The sequence below is a fragment of the Homo sapiens genome, chromosome 1 (assembly GCF_000001405.40).
Source record: "Homo sapiens chromosome 1, GRCh38.p14 Primary Assembly".
NCBI lineage: Eukaryota > Metazoa > Chordata > Mammalia > Primates > Hominidae > Homo > Homo sapiens.
Window position 1 is genome coordinate 188386602 of NC_000001.11, and position 12796 is coordinate 188399397.

Below are 12796 nucleotides of genomic sequence, written 5' to 3' on the forward strand. Positions count from 1 at the left end.
TTGCCATCTTCTTGGTTTGCTGGTTCTTCAATTAAACTTACTTTTTTTTCCAGCAACACTTGCCTCCCATGGTTGGCTTTTGAGCAGCAAGCAGCCTATTCTGGGTCCAGTTACAACTCCACCTTCACGAATGGGATTACTGCCTTTATCAAAAAGGCTCAAAGGACCTTCCTTGCCCCTATTCACCATGTGAAGCCACAGAAAGAAGGCAGAGAGCAAGCCCTTACCAGACACCAAATCTGCTGGTACTTTGATCTTGGACTTCCCAACCTTCACCACTGTGAGAAATACATTCCTGTTGTTTATAAATTACTCAGTCTAAGGCACGTTGTTATAGCAGCCCAAACAAACTAAAACAATGACGTTCCATTTATTGGAAAGAAGGAACACATACATTATTGAGAGTGTCAAATATAGCATTTTAAAATAGAGTATACCATTTAGTTAAATGAGAATGTAAAACACATTGACTTTGCTAAATTTAATAATCCTGTACATAAAATGCCTTAAGAGATAATGGTTAAATTTCACTAAATGATGATAATAGTTAAGAATCTCTAAAATTCATATGGTTGAGTATCCTGATTCTTGGTCATAATAACTTGCAAATAATTTATTTAGGATATTATTATGTTATTTCACCTACAAATATGTAAAACTAAAATTTCAAGTTGCATGTTTCAAATTAAATGTGAAGAGAAATTTCAGTAAATTGAATCTGTTCCAGGAAAAAAAAATACCATGAGGATGTTATAATATGTAAAAACAATGTATATATCACTATGCATTTTAGATTCCAATACAACATTTATTATGTGGCTGCATTGATGTTTAAATATTTTACTTAGAATATAAAATAGTAAAAAAAGTGGCAACCATTAAAATTTGACGAGGGCATATTATCATTTGCATATAAAAAGGGATACTCCTGATACTTTGTATAGTGAGGGTTGATACTATCTCTGAAGTAACTTATCCAGGGCACTGAGAAACATGTAGAACTTAGAGTGAGGGTCATTTAAAATATGCAAAAAGTCTTATTTTGACCACTTGCCACTTACTTAACAGTCTGTAGCTAGGATAAAGTCTTTTTCAGATTTAATGTTTCCCACAAGCAAGATTCCAACTAAAATCCAGCAGTCAAAAATTTTAGTCAAACGTCTTTGACTACTCCACTTGCAAAAGTTGTCATTTTGGCACTGCACAATTCAAGTGTAGAAGAATTGTAGAAGAAAGGATGCCATACAGAAGAACAGATGGGCAATGTAAGCAGAGAGATGGAAACTCTCAGAAAGAACCAAAAAGAAATAACAGAATTCAACAATGCTGTGACAGATACGAACAATAAGCCAGTAGCACAACTAGCATTCGCTTCTTGATTTCGAATTTTATTCTCCAATAAAGGAAGCCAAGAAAACTTGAATAAATGGCTAATTCTAGCTGCAGCAGGAAATAAAAAAGATGAACTTAGGCATCTTTTAGTGTCATAAAGTAAGGTACTCATAAATTAAACCCCCTAAATGATAGGAGTATGTCAAAGGGACAGTGGAGCCAACTGAAAGGGAACCCAAGAGTCAAATCTAGAGCAGCTTGAGAAACAAAATAACATAACGTTGGATTTCAATCCAAATTATAAAGTAGATATCTACACATTCACACAACTGTAAATAAAAGGTGGGGAAAGAAATCTCTCAAAGTAGAAAAATTCCAAATAATTTCTATAGGTTCTCTGCCCTGGAGGAGGTGGAGCATAACTCTTTACCTCTTAAGTGTTAGCTGCCCATAATGACTTCCTTCCAAAGAGTATGGAAAGACAAAGCAACAGTAAATTTACCATAGAGAAGCCTGACAAACGTGACCTCAGCCAGGCAATCAAGATTCACATCAACAGTGACATTTTATGTTGATAGTATTAATTGTTGATATGAAATGATGAAATTGGTACTTTACCTCTGTGGTCCTCTCAGAGAAGTGGAAGAAGACAAAGTAACAAAATGTAATGTGGTATCCTGGATGGAGTCCTGGAACATGAAAAAGACATTAAGTAAATGCCAAGAAGATCTGTATAAAATTTGAATTTTACTTAATAATAATGTATCAATATTAATTCATAAATTATAACAAATAAAATGTAATGTAAGATATTAATATTAGGATTAGCTTGGTAAAAGGAATATGTGTATAGTCCTTGCAATTTCTTTGTAGATCTAAAACTACTTTAAAAATAAAAAGTTACTTAATAAAACAAACTTAAAATATATTATAAGTGATATTTACATTGACTATTTATTGAAAAATATAATGGGTTAAATAGAATATATTATTAAAATTAACAACAGCAAAAATAATATATACCCAAGACTTTTGAAAGGCCTGTTTGCCCCTTATGGAATGACATGTTATAAACGCTTTATAGCATGACAAAAGGTAAAATGTTAACATGAAAAGTAGAGCAGAGAAAATTGGCTGGAAATATGTCTTGATTATATTTGCATCCTAATTTCTATAATGTCTTAATGCTTGGTTACACTTTTATTTTCCATAAGTTTCATGAGACAATAAATGTTTTTTGTAATAATTAACCCCTGAATTTCAAAGTCTTCAAATAAATTAATGTGACAGTCATAATTCCTAACTATACAATAACCAAGCTAATAGCTATTTTACTTTTACAGTGGGCCCATACTCATTCTATGCATATGTCTTTGTTTCTGTTTTCTTAACTGACAGTAAAGCAACCCAGTAAGTCTTATTTTCCTTTTACTATGCCTACCCATGAATCTCTCCTCATCTGTGTTCCATTCTTAGCATCATCAATGAATATAACTAAAAATAGTATTAAACTGGACATTTTTGGTTAATTTATTTCAAAACTACATTAATATCATTTGATTAATTCAGCAAAAAATTGTACATGTGCACCATTGTTCAAAAAATATAGTGTCCAGGCAGTTATGTGTAAAAAAACATAAATATAATATAGTGCTTGGCTTTAATAAGCATAATATTCAATAAAAATCATCACAAAATTAACAAAGTCAAAATAAATTTTAACATTTAGCACAAAAACAGTGAGCTGTAATTTTCCAAAGAATAGAGCTAGAATGCTATCTTCATCAGTGTGGGCTGCTGTAACAAAACATCATTAACTGGGTAATTTATAAATGACAGAAATAATTTTTTCACAGTTCTGCAGGTAAAGTCCAAGAATAAGGCGTTGGCAGATTCTGTGTCTCATGAGGGTTGCTTTCCAGTTTACAGCTGTTTTTTGCTATCTCCTCACATAACAGAAGGAGCTCTCTGGCTTCTTCATATAAGACCACTAATACCAATCATAAGAGCTCAACCCTCATGACCTGTTCACTTTCCAAGGGCCTCACTTTCAAATACCATCATATTGGGGATTAGGTTTCAACATGTGAATTTTGGTGAGACATAGATATTCAGTCTATTGCAAATACTCAGAATAGCGCAAGGTTTGTTTATCAAAACTGAGCTGTACTATATTGGTCATAATGAACATGTAAGAAAGTAGTGAAGAAAACTAATGGAAGAGATCTGAGGTCAGTTCGTAACATATGAAGGCCCTGGAATGACTTTATTTATTAGGCATAGATTGCCACTTATGTGAGGATCACAGTGATAGGCTTGATTTCAAATGTCAGTTATGATGAACAATTGACCAAAATGATTAGCAAGGCCAACAATTCCTAAAGTAAACAGTAAGAGATTTACTCTCTAGAAACACAAGATTAGATATGCTTGGCCCTAAGCTTCAAATAAGTGAATATGAATCTCAGGAAAAAAATATCAATTAGAGAAAATGTGTTCATCTGAATTATTTAAATTTCATAGAATTTGCACTATAATCATATATTTTTCTCCTAAAACGACTATCCAACATCCAAGGTATGATGACCTTACCTTGAAAAAACCATTTTAAAAATTGCATGATATATTTTAAAGATAAGTTATCATTAAACCAAAATATTAACCTAAGAAGAATTTTGTACACTAAGAATACTAATAGTGTTCAAAATTTTCACTTATGTCTTTGCAAAATCTTAGAATCATGTACAGCATATTTTAAAAATTCACGTTTTGCCCAATAAATACCATTCTGGACATAGGCCTTGGCAAAGGTGTCATGATGAAGACTCCAAAAGCAATTGCAACAGAAATAAAAATTGACAAGTGGGAGCTAATTAATGAGCTTCTGCACAGCAAAATAAACTATCAACAGAGTACACAGACAATTTACAGAATGGGACAAAATATTTGCAAAGTGTCCATCCAACAAAGGTCTAATATAAAAAATCTATAAGTAAGTGAATAAATCAACAGGCAAAAAACAAACAACTACATTAAAAATGGTCAAAGGATATGAACAGGCACTTCTCAATAAAAGACATACATTGGAGGCTGGATGTGGTGGTTCACAACTATAATCCCAGCACTTTGGGAAGCCAAGGTGGACAGTTCACTTGAGGTCAGGACTTCAAGACCAGCCTGGCCAACATGGGGAAATGCTGTGTCTACTAAAAATACAAAAATTAGCTGGGCGTGGTGGTGCATGCCTGTAGTCCCAGCTACTTCAGAGGCTGAGGCAGGAGAATCCCTTGATCCCAGCAAGTGGAGTCTGCAGTGAGCCGAGATCACACCTCTGCACTCCAGCCTGGGCAACAGAGCAAGACTCTGTCCCCTCACTCTCCAAAATAAAAGAAAGCATACATGTGGCCAACAAGAATATGAAAAAATGCTCAACATAATTAATCATTAGATAAATGCAAATCAGTACCACAATAAATACCATCTCACACCGTCAGAATGGCTGCTATTAATAAGCCAAAAAATAACATGTTGACAGGGTTGTGGAGAAAGGGAACTCTTATACATGCTGGTGGGAATATAAATTTGTTCAGCCACATGGAAAGCAGTGTGGAGATCTCTCAAAGAACTTTAAACAGAACTACCATTTGACCCAACAATCCCATTACTAGGTATATACCAAAAAGAATATAAATTGTTCTAACCTAGAGACACACACATGTGTATGTACACAGCAGCACTTTCCACAATAGCTAAGCCATGGAATCAACCTAGATGTGCATCAATCATGGACTAGAAAAAGAAAATATGGTACATATACACCATGTAGTACTATGCTATGCAGCTGTAAAAAGAAAGAATGAAATAAGATCATGTCCTTTGTAGCAACATGATTGTAGCTGGAGAGCATTATTTTAAGCAAATTAACACTGGAAGAGAAAATGAAATACCATTTATTCTCGCTTACAAGTGGGATCTAAATATTAAGTACACCTGGACACAGAGAGGGAAACAACAGACACTGGGTCTTAACTTGAGGTGGAGAGTGGGAGGAGGGTGAGGATTGAAAACTACCTATGCTCACTATCTGGGTGACAGAATCATTTGTACACCCAAGACCAGTGACATACAATTTATGCATGTAAAAACCTTCACATGTACCACCCCTGATAAAAGTTGGAAGAAAAAAAATTAAAAAATGAAAAAGTTGACTTCATAGAAGTAGAGAGTAGATTATTGGTTACCAGAGACTGGAAGGAAGAAGGAAGAGTGCGGTACCAGAAGAAGTTGGTCAGTGGATATAAAGTTGCAGTAAGAAAGAATAAATTTTTATGTTTTATTATACAAGAGAGTGACTATAGCAAGTAACAATGTGTATATTTGAAGATAGATAGATTTTGAACGTTACCACCACGAGAAATGATAAATGTTTAAGGGCTGAATACGATAATTACTGTGACCTTATCATTATATTATGTATACATGTGTTGAGATATCACAATGTACCCCATAATTATGTGTGATTATTATGTGTTAATTAAACATGTTAGAAATTAAATTAAAAACATAATGAAAAAATCCAAATTTCAACCACAATGTGTGCCTAAAATAATATTTTATATATAGGTATAAATACTTTCTAAATGTTAATATATTCCAGATAATAATAATGAAAATAAAATTGTGCATATGATAGATGAAGCACATTTCAGGTGAATATGCGCTTTGTTTTTCTAGCCTTTCAAAAAACAAAATTAAACAAAAAATAGCTCTAATTCCTTTATTTTCTAAATGAATGGGATTAGGCTATTTACATTCCTCCAAATTATTATTTTTTAATTTTATTTATTATTATTATTTTTTTTGAGACGGAGTCTCGCTCTGTTGCCCAGGCTGGAGTGCAGTGGTGCAATCTCGGCTCACTGCAAGCTCTGCCTCCCGGGTTCACGCCATTCTCCTGCCTCAGCCTCCTGAGTAGCTGGGACTACAGGCACCTGCCACCACGCCCGGCTAATTTTTTGTATTTTTAGTAGAGATGGGGTTTCACCATTTTAGCCAGGATGGTCTCGATCTCCTGACCTCGTGATCCGCCCGCCTCAGCCTCTCAAAGTGCTGGGATTACAGACGTGAGCCACCGCGCCAGGCCAGTTTTTTTTACCTCCTAAAATATACCTGGGCTTTATATATATAGGTGATATTTATATGTAACTATGTATTACTACAGTAAGATATTTGTACAATTGACTATTTTCATAAAAGTTTTAGATAATCAGAAATTGATCATATAATGCAATAACAGTAAATATATTCCCTCCACACCTCCGTCCCCCCCGCACCACATATAGTTTCCCCTATTATTAAGTTCTTACATTAGAGTGGTCCATTTGTTAGAATTAATGAATCAATATTAATACATTATTATTAAGCAGAGTACTTAGTTTATTGATTGATGTATTTTTTATCTAAAGTAATTTTACCATTCCAGACTCTTATTCAGATACTATGATACCTTAAGCCCTCGTGTTTCCTTAGGCTCATTTTAGGCTCCTCAGCTTCTCCTTGCTTTTGGTAACTTCTACAGTTTTGAGGAATGCTGATGAGATACATTGCAAGATGTCTTTATTTTGGAATTTTTTGATGTTTTAACCACGATTAAAATGGTTTTATCATTTTATGAGAAGATTACAGAGATCAATGCTATTTTCATCACATATTTTTAGGAGTACATACTATCAATATGATTTAAGATTGGTGATGTTGAACTTAATCACCTTGCCCAAGTAGTGTTTTTAGGTTTCTCCTTGTAAAGTTACTCTTTTTTGTCTTACCTTCCATACTGTACTCTTCGTAAGGAAGTTACTATTCACAGTGTACAATTAAAAAATGGGAAATTACAAGATCCTTTTTAAAAGGGATGTTATATCAATATAGGAGCTAAGGTATCATTCAATAGTAAATTTCTATGATCATTGTATATTAGATCACTAATTTTCATGGCTTTGAATATACCTCAGATTTTCTTCCATTTTAAAACATCTCCTATAGCCTGACGTGTGAGTTAGGAGTGTCTGGGCTGCAACTTATAGAATACTGAAATAATGGTTTGAAACCCAGGTTCATTTATTTTTAATTAACAATAACAGCAACAAAAAAAAAAGTGAAGTAGATGGTCCTGGACTAGATCAGCTCTTCTGTAATTCCAACAAAGTGAAAAAGGAAAAACAGCCAACCAGCCAAACAACCAAACAAACAAAATTGACCCTGACAACTGACCACTAACAGCTGGTAGATTGCAGCTGGCTGTGAATATCAATTAAGCACAAATAAACACAAATAATCTTTAGGGAATATTGGCAGAGACAGATACTCAACATTCTGCAATAAAAAATAATTAAACATCTCCCTATTCTGAATAACATGAGTGACCATTACTTTTTTACCTTACTTTCATTTTTCTACTTCTTAATTTAAAAAAATTACACAAATTGCCCATTTTTCTTAAAACATCCAGCCAAAAACAAATTTTCATTTATATTATACCACTCCAAAATCACCTGGAGCAAGCCCAAATTACATAAAAACTCCCTCCAAAGGTACCCTCCCCACAAAGTTTTTCACGATGCACCTTTCTCATATCACAGCAAGCTAATAAACTATACTGTTGTTGACTACAGGTATACTGTTGCTGAATTTTGGCTAATGGGCTCTAACAAGATATCAGATCTCTTTCTATACTACTTTTAATTTCAATAGTGTTTGAGGTACAAGTAGTTTTTGGTTACACAGATACATGTTTTAGTGGTGATTTCTGAGATTGTGGTGCACCCATCACCTAAGCGTTGTACATTGTACCCAATATGTACTCTTTTATCCCTCACAGCCCTCTTACTCTTCTGCCACTGAGTTCTGAAAGTCCATTTAATCTCCAGGCTACTGGCTTTTCATTCCTGTTTACATTCTCAATGTCAGAAGAATGCTGAGTTTGTTACATACTTCATTCCCTTACTCCTACATGTCAAGCAGAAAGAAAGAATTGAAGCCACTATTCTTTTCTTTCCTCTTGAAATTGTCTCAGGTTTTCCAACATGCACCATTGACCAGAATAAATCAATCTTAGTTGGAAGGGAAATTAGAAAAAATAGGTAGGTGATGGAGGAAAACAGAAATGCTGTATTTTAATTAGACCAATAATGATTTATCCTTCAAGAAAGATAAGTTAATTTTTGCAACTAGTTTTATTAGGTCAGAATCACTCTGATTTTTTAAAAAATAAAACAACTGAACAATATAATTAGGAACTTAAAATACAAAAACTTCAAGAGAATATTACAAATTGAATTCTGTAATATATGAAAAGATAGTATATCACAAACATACACATATAATATACACAATTGCAAGGCTGGCTCAATAGTTGAAAAACAATCAGTGTAACCCACAACATTACATGTTTAAAGTAGAAAGAACAATGGTCAAACAATGATCAAATCAGTAGGTGAAAATTTGACTAAATGAAGTGCCCATTTATGATAAAAGAAAATTCCTGATAAAATTAGCTTACATAAAACCTAAAGCTAGCATCATATTTAATGATAAATGATGGAACACTTTTTGTCTTAGATTGGAAACAAGACAAGGATATTCAGTTTCACAACTCTTAATGAACATTGTACTTTAAGTTCAAACTTGTACAATGAGTGACAAAAAGATACATACATACATATATATATATGTGTATATGAAGTTGGAGCTAGGTGTAGTGGCTCATGCCTGTACTCTTACCACTTTGGGAAGCTGAGATGGGTAGATTGCTTGAGCCCAGGAATTTGATACTGGCATGGGCAACATGGTGAAACCTCATCTCTACCAAAAAAAAAGCAAAAATTAGCTGGGTGTGGTGGTGCACACATGTAGTCCCAGATACTTCGTTTTAGAAGGCTGGGGTGGAAGAATTGCTTGAGTTAGGGAGGCATTTCTCTTTGTTTCTGAATAAGGACAGTATATTTGTTCAGGAATCGGTTCATTGAACAATGGAATAGAATATAAAATCCAGAAACAGACTGACACAAATATAGTCATTGTATATATGTAGTCATGTTTATATATATATATATTTATAATTTTATAAGTATAGTCATGTTATATATATAACATATATAAATATATATAACATATATAAATATAGTCATTATATATACATATATATGTATATATATATATAACATGGAGTTATAGCAATTCAATTGGGAAAGAGGAGTATTTCAACAAATGGTTTGGGAAAAATTGGAGTTTCACATTTAGAAAAACAAATTCAACATAAGATCACATTGCATGCATACAAAAATTAACACAAAGTGAATTTCAGATTAAAATGTAAAGTGTAAAATTTTAAGAATTTATAAAAGAAAACAAAAAAGTGACTTAAGTTTACACAAATTTCTCGAAATGAGATTATGTCTATGATTTATAAAGAAAACATGATTTATATGAGTCTCTTGACATACAAAAGACTGCTTTAAAAGAAAGAAAAGGCAAGCTTCCGATAATTGCGAGAATACTTGGAAACCTCATATCTGAAAAAGAACATATATATAATATATACGATGAAATCTTAAACTCCATATTAGAAAATCAGAGTGATGTCAGCAAGATGGCTGACTGGAAGCCTCTAGCACTTGTCACCCTCACAAAGAAAGCCAGAACAATGAAGAAACTACATTTTAATGAAAATAACTGAAGGAGAGTTCTGGAGCTTGACAGAAATGTATCAGAGACCCTAGTAAGTACAGAAACTCTGGATGACCGCATAGAGAATGGAAGAGAGCTCTGTCCACCGACCCGTTTTACAACTGGGATCAACTGGGAGCAAGGAGGAACTTTTTCCTATGACAAAGAGTTAAGCAATAAGGCCCTTGTCAACTCCTTGGACACCAACAGACCCCACATTCAGGTTCCTCGCAGTCTTCACAGTCACTAAGCCCAGATGAGGGAGCTGCCTAAAGGCTACAAAGCTGTGTTCCCCTAAGAGAAAATGCCAACACTGAGCCCCAACACCTGTAGCCCACAGAACGACTGTGCCATGCCATCTTGGAATAGAAATTATGGCTGGAGACTGTCTTGCTCTAGGGATGAGTAGCAATGGCCCTCTATCCCTGAGGCTAAGTTGTTGCCAAACCACACCAGCCCAGTTGTGTGACATCCCCAAGCCTAGTTGTGAATACCTGTTACACCTTTCTCTGTGTGACCAAGAGGAAATGGAGCCACTCCGGCTATCCTCTTTGCCTAGACCCTTGGCCTACAGCTGAAGTAATGCCCTGACTTTTTGAAATACAGTACCTTAGTCACTTAGGGAAGTCATGTCTCCTCAGCCTAAGCTGAAGTAGTGCCCTAAAACCCAGGAAAACCTTTGAGTAGCTTTGGCTGCTCAAAGAGGTAACATATCCTAGGACTTAAGCTGAAGCTTTGGCCTACATTCCATGGAAATGGTGCCTGGGCCACCCAGAACAGTCATGATCCCGAGGCCTGAGGTGAAGGGAAACATTGCCCCTTGGTAATTGGTGGCTTGGTCAAACTGAGGAGCTTCATGTTTTAGAACTGAGCTAATGTAGTAACTTCTCCCAAGGAAATATAGTGGTTGACATGAGACGCCCTGTTCTACAGGCAAAAAGACTCTAGTACCTCTCTTCTCTGGAGCTGGACTGGAGTCTGAGCTGCAGAGGCATCCATTGCCTAAAAAGTAGAGTCATCACTGTGCTGTTTCCTCCTCCTGATAAGAACCCAAATGACAGCTGTACGCCACTATTCTGAGGTATAAAAGTAGATAGAGCAGATACATAAAAGAGGAAGAGAAAAGAATCAAACTTTAGCACTACAGAAAACCACCAAACTACAATGATACAAAAAAGAGAGAAAATAAGGAACAAAGGATAAACAAAACAACAAGAAAAAAAAATCAAACAAATGACAGGAGTTGGGTCCTTGTCTATCAATGATAACCTTAAATGTAAATGGATTACATTCTTCACTTAATAATGATATAGACTGGATGAATAGATATAAAAAGTGACCCAACTACATGGTGCCTACAAGAAACTCTTTTCACCTATAAAGACACACATAGGTTACAAGTAAAAGAAAGTAAAAAGATATTTCATGTAGATGGAAACCACAAGAGCGCAGAACTGCCTGTGCTTATATCAGATAAAATAGACTTCAAGTCAAAAACTATAAAGAGATAATGAAGGTAATTATATAATTATAAAGGAATCAATTCAGAAAAAAGATATACTAATTATAAATATATATGCTAGACCAGAGGAAACAGACACATAAAACAAATCTTAGATTTGAACAGAGAGATAGATGCTAATCAAATAATAATTGGGGACTTCAACACCCCATTCTCAGCATTGCATAGATCACCTAGACAGAAAATCAACAAAGCAATATTGGATTTAAACTGCACTTTAGACCAAATAGACCTAATTCACATTTATAGGACATTGCATCCTTCAGCTGCAGAATGAAAATTATTTTAACCTGTGCGTGAAACAGTTTCCAGAATAAGCCTCATTTTGGGCCACAAAATAAGGGTCAACAAATTTAAGAGAACTGAAATTATATCAAGTGTCCTTTCTGACCACATAGAATAAACATGAAGAACTCTCAAAATTGTACAAATACATGAAAATTAAACAATGTGCTCCTGAATAAGCAATGGGCCATTACAAAAAAAGAATGAAATACTAAAATAATTTTGAAACAAAGGAAAATAAGAACATAACATACCAAAATATGGGCAACAGCAAAAGGAGTGGTAAGAGGAAAGTTTATAGCAATAAACACCTATATCAAGAAAGTAGAAATATTTTAAATAAACAACCTAATAATGTTCTCAAGGAATTAGAAAAGCAAGAACAAACTAAACTCAAAATCACAAAAAGGAAAGAAATAACATAAATCAGAGCAGAAATAAATAAAATTGAGACTAGATGAATAGAAATTATTTAAAAAACAAAAAGTTGGTTTTTTGAAAGATAAAATCAACTATCCATTACCTAAACTAATAAAAAAGAGAGAGAAGACCCAAATAAATAAAATCAGAAATGGTAAAGGAGATGTCACAACTGATACCACTGAAATACAAAGCATAATTAGAGTCCATTGTAGATAACTACACACCAATAAATTCAGAAACCGAGAAAAAACTGGTAAATTCCTGGAAAACATAACCTATTCAGGTTGAACCAAAAAGAAATAAAAAAAAACAGAACAGACCAATTACAAGTTATGATATTGAATATTTAAAAAAAATTCTACCATCAAAGAAAAGCCCAAGATTAAATGCTTTCATTGCAGAACTATACTAAACATAAAAAAATTCTCAAGCTCTTCCAAATATGGAAAAGGAGGGAATTCCTCCAGACTCATTATATGAGGCCAGCTTTACTCTGATTCCCAAACCAGA